This window comes from Homo sapiens, chromosome X (assembly GCF_000001405.40).
Source record: "Homo sapiens chromosome X, GRCh38.p14 Primary Assembly".
Classification (NCBI taxonomy): Eukaryota; Metazoa; Chordata; class Mammalia; order Primates; family Hominidae; genus Homo; species Homo sapiens.
Window position 1 is genome coordinate 154,390,961 of NC_000023.11, and position 16,855 is coordinate 154,407,815.

Sequence of the window (16,855 nt, forward strand, 5' to 3'; positions counted from 1 at the left end):
TAGAAGTGGATGTGTAGCTTTATTTGTAATTCTCTTTCTTTCTTCCTTTCTTTCCTTCTTTCTTTCCTTTTCTTTCTTTTTGAGTCAGGGTCTCACTCTGCGCCCAGTCTGGAGTGCAGTGGCGCGATGAGGGCTCACTACAGCCTTGACCTCTCCACCCCAGCGAGGGCTTCAACCTCCAGCCTCAGCCTTCCGTGTAGCTGGGACTACAGGCGCACGCCACCACCATGTCCGGCTAATTTTTTACTTTTTGTAGAGATGGGGTCTCGCTTTTTCGCCCAGGTTGGTCTGGGATTCCTGGGCTCAGGTGATCCACCCCAGCCTCACAAAGTGCTGGGATTCTGGGCACCGCGCACCGGCCGCCGCGCCCGGCTTGATGTGTAGTTTCAATAGAAACCACCAAGGTCTTCAGGGTGGCCTGTGCATCACTTTACACATACTCAAGCGAATCATTGAGAGGTGTTTGAGGCCGGGCGCGGTGGCTCACGCCTGTGATCCCAGCACTTCGGGAGGCCGAGGCGGGTGGATCGTTTGAGGTCAGGAGTTTGAGACCAGCCTGACCAACATAGTGAAACTCTGTCTCTAATAAAAATATAAAATTAGCCGGGCGTGGTGGCGCCCTCGCCTATAATCCCAACTACTCAGGAGGCTGAGGCAGGAGAATCGCTTGAACCCAGGAGGCAGAGGTTGCACTGAGCCGAGATCGCACCACGGCACTCCAGCCTGGGTGACAGAGCAAGATTCTGTCTCAAAAAAAAAAAAAAAAAAACGTTTTTGAAACAACTTGAAGCAAGTTATCCCATGTATAAAAAAGCATGAAGTTATTTATACTATTTTTCTGTGCAATCACCCACATAATTAGCCAAGTTAAGACCCATTATGCGGCCGGGCGCGGTGGCTCACGCCTGTAATCCCAGCACTTTGGGAGGCTGAGGCGCGTGGATCACGAGGTCAGGAGTTCGAGACCAGCCTGGCTAATATGGTGAAACCTCGTTTCTACTAAAAATACAAAAATTAGCTGGGCGTGGTGGCGTGTGCCTGTAGTCCCAGCTACTCGGGAGGCTGAGGCAGAAGAATCGCTTGAACCCGGGAGGTGAAGGTTGCAGCAAGCCGAGATCGCACCACTGCACTCCAGCCTGGGTGACACAGTGAGACTCCGTCTGAAAAACAAAAACAAAAAAAAACCGTTATGCTACACGTTTTGTAGTGATTTTGTTTTGTTTGTTTTAGCTTTTTTATAATTTCAACTTTTTTGTTTTTGAGATAGAGTCTCACTCTTGTCGCCCAGGCTGAGTGCAATGGCACCATCTCGGCTCATTGCAACCTTTGCCTCCCAGGCTGAAGGGATCCTCTCACCTCTCACCTGGGTTGGTCAGGCTGGTCTCAAATTCCTGACCTCAGTGATGCACCAGCCTCGGCCTCCCAAAGTGCTGGGATTACAGGCATGAGCCACCGCGCCCGGCCTGATGTACTTTAAACTTTTTTTTTTCTTTTTTTGAGACAGAGAGTTTCACTCATGTTGCCCAGGCTGGAGTGCAATGGCGTGATCTCAGCTCACCACAACCTCCACCTCCTGGGCTCAAGTGATTCTCCTGCCTCAGCCTCCCGAGTACCTGGGATTACAGGCATGTGCCACTGCACCGGGCCTCCATTTGATGTACTTTTAAAGCATTATTATTTCTACCTTGCATTTACTATGAACACAGCCTTGAACGTGCATCCATCTCTCTCTAGAATAATTACCTGTAAGTGGAATTGCTGGGTCGAGATATATGTACATTAAAAAAAAAATTTTTTTTTTTTTTTGAGACAGGATCTCAGTCTGTCGCTCAGGCTGGAGTGGAGTGGCTCGATCACAGCTCACCACCGCCTCAACCTCCTGGGCTCAAGTGATCTTCCTGTTTCAGCCTCCTGAGCTGCTGGGACCACAAGTGTGTGCCACCATCCCTGGCTTTTTTAGAAAACTTCTTTTTGTACAGACAGGGTCTCACTGTGTTGCCCAGGCTGGTCTTGAACCCCTGGGCTCAAGTCCTCCCTCCTTGGCCTCTCAAAGTGCTGGTTTTACAGATGTGTCCCACCTTGTGTGGCCTGCATTTAAAATTGTAAGAGACACTAGGGAATTGCCTCCCCTAAAGACCCTACCTTTGATACTGTCCGTCCCTCGCATTGTACCCTCAGCGTTTACCCACAGCCTCACCAGCACCTTTTGGGCTAACAGCTTTTTAGGTAGCTGAAAATTAGATGGGAGAACTGTAGCTTTTCGCTTTTTCCTTCTTCCCTGTTTCCTAGTCCTGTTCCCCTCCCTCCCAAAGGGGTCATTTAAAATGTGGTGTCATTTGGAATGTGTTTGTTCAATTGTATTTTAGTTTTCTGAGACAGGGCCTCGCTTTGTCACCCAGGCTGGAGTGCAGTGGTGTGATCATAGCTCACGGCAGCCTTGATGTCCCAGACTCAAGTGATCCTCCCACCTCAGCTTCTGGAGTAACTAGGACTACAGGCATGTGCCACCACGCCAGCTAATTTTATTTTTTTGTAGAGACGAGGTCTCACCCTGTTGCCCAGGTTGGTCTCCTATTTCTGGCTTCAAGCGATCTGCCCGTCTCGGCCTCCCAAAGTGCTTGGATGACAGGCGTGAGCCACTGCCCTGCACCTGTGGATTTTTTGTGTGTATGGTTTTGCCCACCGTAACTGTCCCTGTGCTGCATTCCTATTCTGCTGACTGCTTCCGTCATTCAACAGGGTTTCTCAGCTCTTTGTCTGTGGCCCTGGAGACGTACAGTTGACTCCTGTGCTCCTGCAGAGGATTTCAGAGCTTGGATGCAACACATTTGATCATTCCCACCCTGAGTGATGCAACCCCAGGGCTTCAGCTCCTGGTGTGCCACAAACCATGCCACGAAGGCCATGGCACGGAATGTGGCCTTAGCGAGAAGGGAGAATTGCTCTTGCTGAGGTTATCAAGGGGTAGGATTGCTGGGTTCAAGAACACTGATGTTTCATTTTCTTATGTTTGTTCTGTTCTTTTTTTTTTTTTTTTTTTGAAAGAGTCTCACTCTGTCACCCAGGCTGGAGTGTAGTGGCGCGATCTCGGCTCACTGCAACATTCACCTCCTGGGTTTAAGCAATTCTCCCATCTCAGCCTACCGAGTAGCTGGGACTAAAGGCGCACGCCAGCATGCCTGGCTAGTTTTTGCATTTTTAGTAGAGACGGGGTTTCACCGTGTTGGCCAGGCTGGTCTTGAACTCCGGACCTCAAGTGATCCCCCCGCCTCGGCCTCCCACAGTGCTGGGATGACAGGCGTGAGCCACCGCGCCTGGCTCCTTTCCCATTTTCTAAGGGACAGTCAGTCTCCTCCATACCATTTGTCACACAGCCTTTCCCCCATGATGGCACTGCCATACTCCCGCTAAATGCGCAGGCATCTGTGGTCTCCTCTGCACTTGTCCTTCCAGGGAACGATGCAGTGGGCTCCTTGCTTTGCATCTCGCCATACCTGGTGCACCTGCCAGCTCCCTTAGCAGGACCTTGCAGACAGTTTCAGTCATTCTTGGGCATTTTCTTCTCCATGTGAAGTTTCCCATCATCTTGTCCCGGACCATTAGACACCCACATCCCTGGCTTCCTGGGACTCTGGTGGCGTGATGGGAAGAGCCCACTTCTTAATATTGTTTTTTTCAAGAGGATCTCATTCTTAGTCCAGGTGGCAGGAATGGTTTCCCCTGCTGGCCTCAGCTCTGTTGGCAAGGGATACCTGCAGTCTGGGGCCTGGAGTTGGAGCGCTCCAGACACGGTCCCTTCCTTCCGGGAGTTTCTTTCTCGTGGGTGAGCCAGAAGCAAACACCTCATCCCACAGTTCTGAGGGCCTGGGTGGGGCCATCGTCCTGGTCCAGGTAAGAGACCATGGAGTCTGGCCAAGCACGTTGGCTCCTGCCTGTAATCCCCGCACTTTGGGTTAGGGTTAGGGCAGGAGGATCACTTGGCTCCAGCAGTTCAAGACCAGTCTGGGCAACCTAATAAGGCCCCATCTCTACAAAAGAAAAAAAAAATTATCCAGGCATGGTGGCGTGTGCCTGTAGTCCCAGCCGATTGGGAGGCTGAGGCAGGAGCATCTCTGGAGCCCAGGAGTTCGAGGCTGCAGTGAGTGTTGATCATGCCACTGCATTCCAGTCTGGGCAACGGAGCAAGACCCTGTCTCAATTAAAAAAAAAAAAAAGCCGGGCGTGGTGGCTCACACCTGTAATTCCAGCACATTGGGAGGCTGAGGCGGGCAGATCACCTGAGGTCAGGAGTTTGAGACCAGCCTGACCACACGGAGAAACCCTGTCTCTACTAAAAATACAAAATAAGCCAGGCATGGTGGCACATGCCTGTGATCCCAGCTACTCGGGAGGCTGAGGCAGGAGAATTGCTTGAACCCGGGAGGCAGAGGTTGCACTGAGCTGAGATCGTGCCATGGCACTCCAGCCTGGGCAACAAGAGCGAAACTCCATCTCAGAAAAAAAAAAAAAAAAAAAAAAAAGACAGTGGAGTCCTAGATGGCGAGGGTAGCAATGGAGAAACCCACTTCAATTTCTTTGAGCCAACAGTTGGAAGGATTCCCGTGGGAAGGTCAGGAGGGAGAGGAGCCAACAGGTGGAACTCCGACAGTTCCCCCGTCCTCACCTTGTAGGGCTGCAAGATTCCTTGGTGCCTGTCTGGGCTCCAGGGCCCCCACCCACCCCTGCAGGCTTATGTGCGGATCAGCAAGAGGCACTCTGCTCTCGGGGCAGGTACTCGGCTGGAGGCGAGGACACGGGAGGGATTTCAGCCCTCTCGCTCCCCAGGAAGATGTCCTTGTGCAGAGAACAGCCTGCACGACCTACTAGGGCACCCAGGATTAGGCTGTATCCTCCGTCTGCCCAAACTGGCTACAGAAAGCTCATTTTAACGCCCACTAGAGAGTGAGGAGACTGTAGGTGCAATTTCTTTTTTCTTTTTTTTCTGAGACAGATGAGTCTTGCTCTGTGGTCCCAGGCTGGAGTGCAGTGGTGTGATCTTGGCTCACTCAAACCTCCACCTCCCAGGTTCAAGCCAGATTCTCCTGCCTCAGCCTCCCGAGTAGCTGAGATTACAGGCATGCGCCACCATGCCCAGCTAATTTTTTTATATTTTTAGTAGAGACGTGGTTTCACCCTGTTGGCCAGGCTGGTCTCCAACTCCTGACCTCAATTGATCCACCCACCTCAGCCTCCCAAAGTGCTGGGATTATAGGCGTGAGCCACTGCACCCGCCCTGTAGGCAGATTTTTTTTTTTTTTTCTGAGATAGTTTCTCTCTGTAGACTAGGCTGGAGTGCAGTGGCATGATCTCGGCTCACTGCAACCTCTGTCTTCCGGGCTCAAGCAATTCTCCTGCCTCAGCCTCCCAAGTAGCTAGTATTACAGGTGTGTGCCACCACACCCGGCTCATTTTTGTATTTTTAGTAGACAGGGTTTCACCATGTTGGCCAGGTTGGCCTTGAACTCCTGACCTCAGGTAATCCGCCCGCCTCGGCCTCCCAAAGCGCTCGGATTACAGGCGTGAGCCACAGCGCCCGGCCATACACGAATTTTTTTGAGACAGTCTTGCTCTGTCGCCCAGGCTGGAGTACAGTGGTGTGATCTCAGCTCACTGCAATCTCTGCGTCCTGAGCTCAAGCGATCCTCCCACCTCAGCTGGGATTAGAGTGTGCCGCCACGCCTGGCTAATTTTTAAATATATATATATATATATATTTTTTTTTTTTTTTTTTTTTTTCTGAGACGGAGTCTCGCTCTGTCACCCAGGCTGGAGTGCAATGGCGTGGTCTCGGCTCACTGCAACCTCCGCCTCCCGGGTTCAAGCGATTCTCCTGCCTCAGCCTCCGAAGCAGCTGGGATTACAGGCACCAGCCAGCATGCCCAGCTAATTTTTGTATTTTTAGTAGAGACGGGGTTTCACCATGTTGGCCAGGCTGGTCTCGATCTGCTGACCTCATGATCCGCCCGCCTCGGCCTCCCAAAGTGCTGGAATTACAGGCGTGAGCCACTGCGCCCAGCCAATTTTTAGTTTTTAATTTTTGTAGAGGCGGTTTTTCGCCATGTTGTCCAGGTCTCAAATTCCTGGGCTCAAGTGATCCGCCCACCTCCGCCCCTCAAAGTGCTGAGATCACAGGCGTGAGCCACGGCACTCCGCCGCAATTCCTGACTTGTACTGCCCCAGTGGTGTTACAGCCTCGAACCCAGTTTCCAGACCTAAGTCACCGCCGGCATCCAGAGTCCCATGATGGAAAGGGAGGCTAGGTTCCCCTGGGAAGGACCTTGCACCACTGCTGCAAGTGCACCCCAGAAATCGTCCCAAGCTTTTCTCAAAGGGACCTGCAGCCATTTATAAAAGCGACATATCATCCTGGAAAACAGGTGCGCTCGAGCAGGATTTCCTCCCGTCCTTCCTGTCAAAGGACGGGAAGACTTTGTTACCCCACCGCGCCCCACCTGCAGAATGGTGGACAGATACCTCCAGATGCCACTTCCCCCAGGACGCCCGCCTGCTCTGCGCACCTCTCCCCGGATGCTGCCCCGTGGGCGGGTGGGGGCGGCCCTGCTTCCCCACGACCCCCAGACGCACCCGGAGGGACTCTTGAGCACAGTGGAGTGGGAAGGGCGAGGTGGGGCGGTGCCCAGGCGAGAGCGGCTCATGGGAGGCGGCGCCCGAGACGCAGCTGGTCGGGACGGTGCGGGTCAGGGTGGGCGGAGCGGGGCTAGAGATGCCCCGGGGTTTCCCAGGCCATGAGTCTCCGTGGAGATTTCTCCTCGACCTCTTCCCCGCGGCAATGTGCGAACCCTGGGTCTCCAGGAAACGGGGATACGGGGCATGGCTCCCAGCAAGGCCTGGTCCAGCCTCTCCGGTAGGGGAATGGGTCTCCCCCTCCGGCCTCCCGGGTTGACAAAGGAACGCGGGCCCAGATCCCCGTATGGCGCTTCACCGCCGGGGCCTCTAGCCTAGAAGGAGGCACGGAGCGCGTGTCCGAGACCCGTGCAAGCTCAGGGACACTCTCGCGGTCGCCGGGAGGCCCACCTAGGGTACTTTCCTTTTTTCCACTCTCAGAAATATACGTCTGTCACAGTTAACGGCAAAGCCTAGGGCAAGAGTTCTACGCCCAAGATGGCCAGCCGGAAGCGGGCTTCTCGCGACCATGTGGCGAAGCCCCATTCGTCAGCTGGCCGCCCGCGGCCCTGGTACCCGGTCACCTCTCTGATCTGCGCATGTGCTGGGCTACGCCCGGGCGCAAGCGCCAAGAGCGGCTGCGTCTATGGTCATGACGTCTGACAGAGCGTCCACCCGTCTTCGACAGGACTCTATGGTTCTTACGCGCGCAGACAGACCGCCTATATAAGCCATGCGCAGGCGGAGGAGCGCCTCTTTCCCTTCGGTGTGGTGAGTAAGCGCAGTTGTCGTCTCTTGCGGTGCCGTTGCTGGTTCTCACACCTTTTAGGTCTGTTCTCGTCTTCCGTTCCGACTCTCTCTTTTTCGTTGCAGCCACTGAAGATCCTGGTGTCGCCATGGGCCGCCGCCCCGCCCGTTGGTGAGTCTTGAATCCGTGTACTTTCACTGCTGGGAAACGGGCGGGGAAAGAAGTGCCTATGGCCGCTGAAAACAATTGTGGGGTGGAGCCTCCCCCGTGCGGCGGCCCTGTCTTGGGAACTGACCCTATGTTTTACACCTCCCGGCTATTTTTTAGTCTGCAATATTACTGTCTGTTCCTTCGTTCCCGTGTCGGTGTGGAAGCGACGGTTCCCTCGTATCTCTGCCTGTGTCCTGCAAGCTCACCGCATTTTCGGGCGCTAGATACGCTCTTGGGGCCTTTGTGTGCGTTCTCTGTCTTATTTCCGGGCGACGTGCCGCGTGCGTTGTCGGACGTGAAGGGCAGTCCGGGAAAAACGGGTGCGGCCGCCTCCTGTGTCCTACAGGGGGCGCCAGACGCATTTCCACTCGGCTTGGAGGTGGATTTAGTGCCACGTGCCCGAAAGTCTTAAATTGGGTGACCTGAGCTGTGCAATGATAATGCGGCGATTTTGTAGTACGCAGTGTCTTGAAGAGAGAATTTTTAACTAGGAAAGTTTGTTGCAAAGTGTTTATAGGAAGCGTAAGACAAAGTAACGGAAGATGGTGTCTGTTGTTTCTAGTCTTGGGTGTTGTCTGTGTTGCAGCAGCCAACTGTTGCTTTGTAGTTTATTTCCCCGAATGGAAACGGTTTAGAAGTGGACGTGCATTCCCCACCCTTTTCCCGTCCCTCGTTTGGGTTGTTCCTTGAGGGGCAAAGTGCCTGTTGGGCTTTCTGTGAACCTCACCTAACCTGTGTTTTTTCACTCCCCTGCAGTTACCGGTATTGTAAGAACAAGCCGTACCCAAAGTCTCGCTTCTGCCGAGGTGTCCCTGGTAAGTAGTGGAAGAGCCCCTGCACTGGTTGGCTCTGCGGACTCCGCGTCCGTCTGTGACACCCCCTGCACACTTACCCAATCCTTTTAGATGCCAAGATTCGCATTTTTGACCTGGGGCGGAAAAAGGCAAAAGTGGATGAGTTTCCGCTTTGTGGCCACATGGTGTCAGATGAATATGAGCAGCTGTCCTCTGAAGGTAAGGCAGGATTCTTTGTTCGTCACCCCCCAGTCCTTCCTCCGTGCTCCCTCAACCCCACCCACATACACTGCACTGGAATTGGGAGTTGATGAAACATGAGCCTTACAAAACTCAGCCAACACAGTTCCCCTGAGCTGGAGATAGTCGTGGTGAATGTTTCTCTATTATCTTCTCTCACTTTGCTGCTTTTCTTCTCCCTACCTAGCCCTGGAGGCTGCCCGAATTTGTGCCAATAAGTACATGGTAAAAAGTTGTGGCAAAGATGGCTTCCATATCCGGGTGCGGCTCCACCCCTTCCACGTCATCCGCATCAACAAGATGTTGTCCTGTGCTGGGGCTGACAGGTGAGCTTGGTCTGGGCCTTTTAAGGCAGTTGGAGTCTCTACATTATTAGGCTTGCATTATTTTATCAGAGCATAGAGGTGGCCCCAGTGACTCAGCCACTATGGCTACTAGAAAAGCCAGGCTGGCAAGTGACTTTCAGTGGTCACTCAGGACCCCTTCCTGCAGATACAAACAAAGCATGAGTAAGTCTTAGCAAGCTCTTCCCCACAGGTTAGGGGAAACACTGGTGATGGGAGTAGCTCTTCTTGCTTTTAGCTGAATGACAACCATCTTGCCAGCAGGTAGCTGAAGCTGGCAGAGGAGCCCAGTGGCGCCTTTTCAGTGGTTCTTGGGATGCTCCGCAGCCAATTAAGCCGACTGAGTTCCTTTCCTCATGGGGACCCAGTGTGCGATGGCTGCACACAGCAGCTTCCTTGGTAGTGTACGCAGCCTGTTGGTTGTATGGGTTGCTCTAAGGGACCTTGGAGACAGGCCTTTCAGGTGGATGTTCATGTTTCTGACCTTGCACTACCCCAATGTAGGCTCCAAACAGGCATGCGAGGTGCCTTTGGAAAGCCCCAGGGCACTGTGGCCAGGGTTCACATTGGCCAAGTTATCATGTCCATCCGCACCAAGCTGCAGAACAAGGAGCATGTGATTGAGGCCCTGCGCAGGGCCAAGTTCAAGTTTCCTGGCCGCCAGAAGGTATGTAGTGCTGCAGCCCCCTTCTCCCACCTTTGCCCCAGGCCTCCTGACTCAGTTCTTTCCATTGCTCCTTAGATCCACATCTCAAAGAAGTGGGGCTTCACCAAGTTCAATGCTGATGAATTTGAAGACATGGTGGCTGAAAAGCGGCTCATCCCAGATGGCTGTGGGGTCAAGTACATCCCCAGTCGTGGCCCTCTGGACAAGTGGCGGGCCCTGCACTCATGAGGGCTTCCAATGTGCTGCCCCCCTCTTAATACTCACCAATAAATTCTACTTCCTGTCCACCTATGTCTTTGTATCTACATTCTTGACGGGGAAGGAACTTCCTCTGGGAACCTTTGGGTCATTGCCCTTTCACTTCAGAAACAGGTTGACAACTCAGCCCTGCTCATGAGGCAGCAAACCCTGCAAAGGGCTGGGACTGGTGGCCTTATGTCAGTTGTCTACTCTGGAGCTTGACTTGGACCTCCCCAGGTCCTAGGCAGTAGGTTGAAAAACACTGAAGTGCTTTTCATGAAGCACAGCTGCAGCAAAGCCTTGCAATCCCAGGCTGGGGTCAGCCTACAGTTGTGTTGCTTATTACAACACATGCGGACCAAGAGGGGCTTGTGGGCTAGAGGCTGACCAGCAGCGTTTATTTAGCAAGGGTAGGTGTGCATCACATTGGGCTTGTTCTCACCCATCTGGTTTGGCCATTCCTCCTTGGTGGGAATCATCCAGGTACTGCTGAGGTCACCTGCGATTTGCCCCATTTCCTATCTCTAGCAACCTCCTGGGCCCCATGCCCCCACCCCTTCTAGAACCTGCATTCCCAGGGCCTTCACCACCTGACCAAAGGTCTAGGCTAACCTTTGGTCATTTGTAACAAGACCTCGGAACAGACACGTGTGTGGCATGGTTTGGCCTGGGGATCTTAGATGTCTGACCTGAACTATTGTAGAACAGCGCTGGCTTTTGGGGGAGCAGCAAAAATGAGAGGAGTGCTAGGTGGGTGGCCTGAGCATCTGTATCCAGGGACAGGACTCCAAAGGCTTTTGGTCCCAGAGCTGGGGTATGTTGGCCCCAGCCCCCAGCCTGTGGCTCCCAAAAGGCCTCTGGTTTTTTGTAATCTCAGTTTACAGCCATTTCTTAGGTTTTTAATTACCTTTATTTTATTTTGCCAAACATACCTGGGAATACCTTTTATTTTTTTTTTACCTTGGGGTGATGGTTCCAAACCATAAATGTGATTATAGTTAACACATGACCCTTCTAGCGTCCCAGCCAGTGTTTTTCCTGACCTCTCTTCTTTGGAGAGGAGGATGGAAGGGAGGGGTCCGGCATGCTGCTGGCATTTTGCTGTGTCCTGCAGCCCCTTTCCGGGACACCTGGGTTCACACAGCTTTTTAGCTTACATAACTGGTGCAGATTTTCTGTGTGGAGATGTTGCCTTGACCAGCCTTGGCTGGACTTTACCAGGCATGCAGAAGCCTGTACCAACACAGACTACAGCACCCAGGAGGTGCGAGTGTGGCTGCTCAGCGGTTATAACAGGCCTGACTGCATTGTTCACCGGATTATAATGAGCCAAAATGTTTCCCGGTGTTTGCTGGTTTCAGGGAAGGAGTTTGATATAGCAGATTAACCACCCTCCTTGTAGCTATTGGGGCTTAATGGTTTCCTGGTGATTCTTACCAATCCACAATAAACATGGCCCATTGGCATATCTGCTGCACAAGTGTCCTATCTCACCAATCTGGGTTTTTGTTCTCAGTAACTTTCCTTCTTGTCATACAACATCTTCATTCCTCTTTCTGAACCCTCCCTTCCCCTACCCCAACCCAGAGCCCACTTTGTCTCCACTCCTGATACTACACTACCTGGCAGGTGGCATGAGTGCAGGGCCCCTGGCTTCCTCTCCTAATCTAGGCACAAGCCCAACCAAAGAACAAGAGCCAAATCAAACAAGGCAGGCAGGGGTGGACTACAGTCACAGGGCAACTATAGTTGAAGCCCCCCAGCCCCAGGGCTGGATGGACGGGGGAGGCTGGGGTTTAAGTCCCAAAAGGCAGCAGGCCCTGGGGGGGTAGGGGGACGCTCAGGCAGCAGGGCACAGCTGAGGGGACAGGAGTGATAGCAGCAACAGAACAGTGAGGCTGAGAGGCTGGACGCTGTGCGCCTGGCTCAGCTTCAGCTCCACCTCCACGGGGTAGTGGTCACTGATGTTGAGGGCCTGGGAATGGGTGGTGGGGCAGTGTCAGTGCCCGGGGCCGAGGGGCTTCCCTGTGACCCTGCTGCTGCCCTCCCTCCTCATGCCAGCCCCATCCCTTCACCTCCTCCTCGGTGAGCTGGAAGCTCGTGGGGAAGTCAAAGGCAGCCGCAGTGTGCAGCAGACTCCGGCAGCGCTCCCCGTGCAGCACGACGCGGTCATAGGTGCAGTGGGTGCTGGCCCGCACTGTGGTGTCCTCCCCATCGGCAATCACCCAGTGGAAGCCTGGCTCAGTCCGCAGCTCCAGCTTGTCCAGGCGCTTTTTGGTCAGTGAAGCGCAGTCAGCATTGAAGTCCCCAAGCAGGATCACGTCCTAGAGACACAGCAGCCATCAGGCTGGCCGCTGGGCCACCCTATCCTTGTCCCTCCTGTACAAACTGCCCAGGCCTACCTTGCTCTGCCAGTGCTGGGAGACCTCCAGAAACACATCGTAGAGGGCGTTCAGCTCCTTCTCTACGGCCTTAGGAGTGGTGTGCAGCGGGACCAACACCAGGCTGGGAAGGACTGCAAGGCCCAGGGACCGAGGGCTGCCATCCACTCCTGGACCTTCTCCCCCTAGCCCGTCTGGGTGAGGAAGCCCCCAGTGGAGCCAGCCAGAACTCCCCTTCTGCTCCCACATACCAAGCCCACCCTTCCCTTCCTACCATTGCTGGGCAAAGAGAACTGGGCCACAAATGGCTCCCGGGCAAAGACGTCATCCTCATCGTTGTACACGTAGGAACTCAGGACCTGTGTTTTGTGTGACCTGGGAGGACAAAGGGATGGGCAGCAGTGGCCCCACGTCTTTGATTTTGGCTTGCAAGTGCCAAACGGCGCTCAGGGAGGGGCCCTCCACTAACAGCGGCAATGTGGGCACAGCCCTCCCAACCTGTCTCTAGAACTTTCAAAAATCAGGCATAATTCATATGCCATAAAATTCACCTGCTTCAAGTATACAACACGGTTCTTTTGTACATTCATAAGGCTGTGCAACTATTTCTACAATCAATTTTAAAACATTGGTATCCATTACTCCTAATAAAAACATAACATCCATTACCAGTTACTCTCCATTCTCCCCTCCCCCCAGCCCCTGCAACCATTAATCTGTTCTCTATCTTGTACATTTGCCTATTCTGGATATTTCATATGAATGAAATCAGCTCATCAATGTTTTCTGCGTTCGTCCATATGCTGTGGCACGTCTGTGCTTCATTCCTCTTTCTGGCTGAATAATATTCCACGGACTGGGTATAGTACATTTTGACATTTGGACACTTTGATGTCATTCTTTTTTTTTTTTTTTTTTTTTTTGAGACATGGTCTCACTCTGTTGCTCAGGCTGCAGTGCACTGGCACAATCATAGCTCACTGCAGCCTTGAACTCTTGGGTTCAAGTGATCCTGCTGCTTCAGCCTCCCAAAGCGTTGGGATTACAGGCATGAGCCACTGTACCCTGCCTACCCAGTAATTTTGGAGCGCATACCAGATGTCATATCATTTTATTTATATAGAGAATCAGTTCTCCTTCCCTGCAGCCTCCCTTGCCCTCTGGATCCTGACTCCAAAGGGCTCCCTGCCAGCCTGTCCTCCCAGGGACTTAGAAGATCGGGTCTACCCAAGGCCCATAAGTGGTCCCCACGGAGCCTCTTCCCAGGAGCTGCAGCCCTTGCTGGCCACTTTCATAGAGGGGGCCAGCCACACCCTGAGCCCCAGCAGCTCCCACAGGAGAGAGGAGGAGGGACCCCACATTTGTGCTTATAGAAGGAAGGCCTCCTGCTCTATGGACACTCTGGCGGGGGTCGAGGATGGGAAGAGCCCAGAATAAAAGGTGTTGAGAAGAGAAAGCATGCAAAGCAGGTGAGGCTGTCCCAGGATGGGGGGCCTGTGGCCCCGGGGACTAATGAGCCTACCTCACATTAGGGCCAAGGACCGCCCCCCACCCTGCTGCGCTGCCAGCTCCGTGCTCACCGATAGAAGTACACATACGTCTCCATGTAGGTGCTGCGCCCCAGCTGGGGGCTGCTCAGGGTGCTGTAGGGCCCAGAGCCATCAAATCTGCCAAGAAAAGGGGAGGCGGGGTCAGGGCCTCAAGCCTCTGGGTGTGCCCCTGATTAGACCCACAGAATCTTCCTCACCGATTGAGTTCTCGAAGCAGGAGCGGGATGGCGCTGCCGGAAGAGTCCACCACCTCCTGCAGCACCATGATGTCACAGCGAGCCAGTATCTGTGGGACATCAGGAAGGCCAGCCTGACTCAGTGCCAACTGCCCTGAGAGGAGGCAGTGGGCCCAGGGGACTGGCACTGTTGTGGCCCAGAGTGTTAAGGCTCACTGACTGCAGCCCACAGAAAGCAGTGGGACTGGAAATGCCCCAGGAAAAGACTCATCCCACCCACATGTCACCTGTTTCACAGAGGAGGAGACTGAGGCCAGCAGCAGGCAAGCGCCTGCGCTGCATCTCCGTGCCACACCTCTTCTTCTCCCCTCTTCTCTAGAACATACCCCTGGTCAGGCAGGGATGGGGGCTTTGGCTCATGGTGGTTAGGGGCACGGCTTCCCTGAAGTGATGAACTTACCCGAACTAAGGTGTCCATCACCTGCTCCCTGGCCACCTTGGCCAGTGTCAGCCGCTGGGCATTGAAGGCGCAGATGCGAAAGGCCTGGGCCCCATTGGCCAGGATGAGGAAGAGGAGTGCAGTTGGGTAGTGCATGGCTGTGTGTGGCTGCCGGGGACACCCCAGGAATCCAGGCTGCCCCAGGGTGCGCTCTCACTGGGCTCAGTTCTGGCTCTGGAAGCGCTGAAATATGGAACAGAGAAAGTGGCACTAGCTGCTGCCCAGCACCAGCCTCCCAGTGACCTCCCGAGATCATACCACTGCACTCCAGCCTGGGTGACAGAGTGAGACTCTGTCTCCAAAAAAAAAAATTGTTTTTGAGACAGAGTCTTGCTCTGTGAAGATCAAGCCAAGATCGCACCACTGCACTCCAGCCTGGGCGACAATAAGACTCCGTCTCAAAAAAAAGTGAAATCCTACAGTATTTGTCTTTTTGTGACTGGCTCATTTCACTGAGCAAAATGTCCTCAAGGGTCATTCATGTTGGAGCATATGTCAGAATTTTTTTTTTTTTTTTGAGACGGAGTCTCACTCTGTCGCCCAGGCTGGAGTGCAGTGGCGCAAACGCGGCTCACTGCAAGCTCCGCCTCCTGGGTTCACGCCATTCTCCTGCCTCAGCCTCCCGAGTAGCTGGGACTACAGGTGCCTGCCACACGCCCGGCTAATTTTTTGTATTTTTAGTAGAGATGGGGTTTCACCATGTTAGCCAGAATGGTCTTGATCTCCTGACCTCGTGATCTGCCCGCCTCGGCCTCCCAAAATGCTGGGATTACAGGCGTGAGCCACCGCACCCGGCTGTAGAATTTCTTTCCTTTTCATGGCTGAATCATATTCCATTGTCTGGGCATCTGGGTAGACCACATTTTGTTCATTCATTCATTCATCCATCCATCTGGTTTTTTTTTTTTTTTTTTGAGACGGAGTTTCGCTCTTGCTGCCCGGGCTGGAGTGCAATGGTGCGATCTCGGCTTACTGCAACCTCTGCCTCCCAGGTTCAAGCGATTCTCCTGCCTCAGCCTCCCAAATAGCTGGGACTACAGGCACGCTCCACCACGCCCAGCTAATTTTGTATTTTTAGTAGAGATGGGGTTTCTTCATGTTGGTCAGGCTGGTCTCGAACTCCTGACCTCAGGTGAACTGCCCACCTTGGCCTCCCAAAGTGCTGGGATTACAGGTGTGAGCCACCGTGTCCTTTTTTTTTTTTTTTTTTTTTTTTAAATAGAGACAAGGTCTCACTATGTTGCCCAGGCTGGTCTTGAACTCCTGGGCTCAAGCAATTCTCCTGCCTCAGCCTGCTAAAGTGCTGGGATTGCAGGAATGAGCCCTGGTGCCCCAGCCTCATGCATCTCTTGACCTCGTGATCTGCCCGCCTCGGCCTCTCAAAGTGCTGGGATTACAGGCGTGAGCCAGAGCGCCCAGCCCCTGCTTTCAGTTCTTTTGGGTATATACCCAGAAGTGGAATTGCTGGATCATATGGTAGTTCTAGTTTTAATTTTCTGAGGAAGTGTCATATTGGTCTCCATGGTGACTGCACCATTTTACGTTCTCGCCAACAGTGCACAAGCGGTCAAGCTTATTCTTTTATTGTTTATTTATTTGGGACAAAGTCTTGCTCTGTCGCCCAGACTGGAGTGCAATGGTGCCATCACAGCTCACTGCAGCCTCCTGAATTCTATGTTTCCCAGGCTGGTCTCAAACTGCTGGACTCAAGTGATCTTCCTACCTCAGCCTCCCAAAGTGCTGGGATTTTTTTTTTTTTTTTTTTTTTTTTTTTTTTTTTTTTTGAGACAGAGTCTCACTCTGTCGCCCAGACTGGAGAGCAGTGGCGTGATCTCGGCTTACTGCAACCTCAGCCTCCTGGGTTCAAGCAACTCCCTGCCTCAGCCTCCCGAGTAGCTGGGATTACAGGCACCCACCACCACGCCCAGCTAATTTTTATATTTTTTAGTAGAGACAGGGTTTCACCATCTTGGCCAGGATGGTCTCGAACTCCTGACTTCAGGTGATCAGCCGGCCTTGGCCTCCCAAAGTGCTGGGATTACAGGTGTGAGCCACTGCGCCCAGCCAGTGCTGGGATATTATAGGCCTGACCCACTGCGCCTGGCCTAGTCTACCTTTTTTTTTTTTTTTTTTTTTTTTTTTGAGATGGAGTCTTGCTCTGTCACCAGGCTGGAGTGCAGTGGCGTGATCTTGGCTCACTGCAACCTCTGCCTTCCGGGTTCAAGTGATTCTCCTGCCTCAGCCTCCTGAGTAGTTGGGGCTACAGGCGTGAGCCACCGCGCCCGGCCCCCCCCCTTTTTTTTTTTTTTTTTTTTGATAGTCTCATTCTGTTGCTCAGGCTGG

At 53.2% G+C, this 16,855-nt stretch overlaps 2 protein-coding genes, 1 long non-coding RNA gene and 1 other non-coding gene across 20 annotated transcripts in view, besides 11 other annotated features; 2 read left to right on the plus strand and 2 right to left on the minus strand.

The window, feature by feature from the left end:
• Positions 1-5,286: part of a biological region, named in NCBI's record as "Xq28 distal FLNA-EMD recombination region", that runs on past the window's edge. NCBI's record gives its function as "recombination_partner: LOC107988032".
• Positions 1-5,286: part of a non allelic homologous recombination region, noted in NCBI's record as "distal repeat sub-region recombines with the proximal repeat sub-region within the Xq28 proximal FLNA-EMD recombination region, resulting in an inversion", that runs on past the window's edge. NCBI's record gives the evidence for it as "EXISTENCE:Southern hybridization evidence [ECO:0000078][PMID:9140403, PMID:9384614]".
• LOC124905228 (uncharacterized) lies at positions 1-7,882 on the minus strand. Its single transcript, XR_007068356.1, has 2 exons — positions 6,625-7,882; positions 1-1,160 (listed from the first exon to the last, which is right to left on the minus strand). It is a non-coding gene; the product is annotated as an uncharacterized LOC124905228 (long non-coding RNA).
• Positions 6,460-6,639: a silencer, noted in NCBI's record as "silent region_21099". NCBI's record gives its function as "represses an Ori minimal core promoter by ATAC-STARR-seq in GM12878 lymphoblastoid cells {active_cell/tissue: GM12878}" and the evidence as "EXISTENCE:reporter gene assay evidence [ECO:0000049][PMID:35858748]".
• Positions 6,710-6,779: a silencer, noted in NCBI's record as "silent region_21100". NCBI's record gives its function as "represses an Ori minimal core promoter by ATAC-STARR-seq in GM12878 lymphoblastoid cells {active_cell/tissue: GM12878}" and the evidence as "EXISTENCE:reporter gene assay evidence [ECO:0000049][PMID:35858748]".
• Positions 6,782-7,327: an enhancer, noted in NCBI's record as "H3K27ac hESC enhancer chrX:153626083-153626628 (GRCh37/hg19 assembly coordinates)". NCBI's record gives its function as "activates a minimal SCP1, AML or CMV promoter by ChIP-STARR-seq in naive H9 embryonic stem cells {active_cell/tissue: H9 hESC(naive)}" and the evidence as "EXISTENCE:reporter gene assay evidence [ECO:0000049][PMID:30033119]".
• RPL10 (ribosomal protein L10) lies at positions 7,105-11,379 on the plus strand. Of its 6 annotated transcripts, none has more exons than NM_001303625.1 (7): positions 7,105-7,438; positions 7,537-7,582; positions 8,378-8,436; positions 8,527-8,634; positions 8,843-8,981; positions 9,504-9,666; positions 9,742-11,379. In NM_001303625.1, exons 2-7 carry the CDS (start codon positions 7,560-7,562, stop codon positions 9,892-9,894), a joined length of 645 nt encoding a protein of 214 aa, NP_001290554.1. In that variant the 5' UTR covers positions 7,105-7,438; positions 7,537-7,559; the 3' UTR covers positions 9,895-11,379. The 6 variants fall into 6 exon arrangements, with proteins under 6 accessions (NP_001290554.1, NP_001243506.2, NP_001243509.2 ...); NM_006013.5 differs by having other exon boundaries at positions 7,417-7,434; positions 9,742-11,372; NM_001256577.2 differs by lacking the exon at positions 9,504-9,666 and having other exon boundaries at positions 7,105-7,434.
• Positions 7,340-7,549: an enhancer, noted in NCBI's record as "active region_30060". NCBI's record gives its function as "activates an Ori minimal core promoter by ATAC-STARR-seq in GM12878 lymphoblastoid cells {active_cell/tissue: GM12878}" and the evidence as "EXISTENCE:reporter gene assay evidence [ECO:0000049][PMID:35858748]".
• Positions 7,872-8,417: an enhancer, noted in NCBI's record as "H3K27ac hESC enhancer chrX:153627173-153627718 (GRCh37/hg19 assembly coordinates)". NCBI's record gives its function as "activates a minimal SCP1, AML or CMV promoter by ChIP-STARR-seq in naive H9 embryonic stem cells {active_cell/tissue: H9 hESC(naive)}" and the evidence as "EXISTENCE:reporter gene assay evidence [ECO:0000049][PMID:30033119]".
• Positions 8,418-8,961: an enhancer, noted in NCBI's record as "H3K27ac hESC enhancer chrX:153627719-153628262 (GRCh37/hg19 assembly coordinates)". NCBI's record gives its function as "activates a minimal SCP1, AML or CMV promoter by ChIP-STARR-seq in naive H9 embryonic stem cells {active_cell/tissue: H9 hESC(naive)}" and the evidence as "EXISTENCE:reporter gene assay evidence [ECO:0000049][PMID:30033119]".
• Positions 8,962-9,507: an enhancer, noted in NCBI's record as "H3K27ac-H3K4me1 hESC enhancer chrX:153628263-153628808 (GRCh37/hg19 assembly coordinates)". NCBI's record gives its function as "activates a minimal SCP1, AML or CMV promoter by ChIP-STARR-seq in naive H9 embryonic stem cells {active_cell/tissue: H9 hESC(naive)}" and the evidence as "EXISTENCE:reporter gene assay evidence [ECO:0000049][PMID:30033119]".
• Positions 9,321-9,455, plus strand: SNORA70 (small nucleolar RNA, H/ACA box 70). The gene has a single exon (NR_000011.1). It is a non-coding gene; the product is annotated as a small nucleolar RNA, H/ACA box 70 (small nucleolar RNA).
• Positions 9,508-10,051: an enhancer, noted in NCBI's record as "H3K27ac-H3K4me1 hESC enhancer chrX:153628809-153629352 (GRCh37/hg19 assembly coordinates)". NCBI's record gives its function as "activates a minimal SCP1, AML or CMV promoter by ChIP-STARR-seq in naive H9 embryonic stem cells {active_cell/tissue: H9 hESC(naive)}" and the evidence as "EXISTENCE:reporter gene assay evidence [ECO:0000049][PMID:30033119]".
• Positions 10,276-16,855, minus strand: part of DNASE1L1 (deoxyribonuclease 1 like 1) — a 10,866-nt gene continuing 4,286 nt past the window's right edge. For 11 of the 12 annotated variants that reach the window (NM_001009934.3, NM_001009933.3, NM_001009932.3 and 8 more), the window contains 7 exons: positions 14,474-14,695; positions 14,035-14,123; positions 13,868-13,954; positions 12,562-12,662; positions 12,309-12,421; positions 11,982-12,230; positions 10,276-11,881 (listed from right to left, as the gene is read on the minus strand). In NM_001009934.3, the coding sequence (NP_001009934.1) occupies positions 11,747-11,881; positions 11,982-12,230; positions 12,309-12,421; positions 12,562-12,662; positions 13,868-13,954; positions 14,035-14,123; positions 14,474-14,608 (909 nt within the window). In that variant the 5' untranslated portion in view covers positions 14,609-14,695 and the 3' untranslated portion in view covers positions 10,276-11,746. The remainder of the gene's footprint in view (positions 11,882-11,981; positions 12,231-12,308; positions 12,422-12,561; positions 12,663-13,867; positions 13,955-14,034; positions 14,124-14,473; positions 14,696-16,855) is intronic. The other variant, XR_007068182.1, reaches the window with a different exon arrangement.
• Positions 11,510-11,709: an enhancer, noted in NCBI's record as "active region_30061". NCBI's record gives its function as "activates an Ori minimal core promoter by ATAC-STARR-seq in GM12878 lymphoblastoid cells {active_cell/tissue: GM12878}" and the evidence as "EXISTENCE:reporter gene assay evidence [ECO:0000049][PMID:35858748]".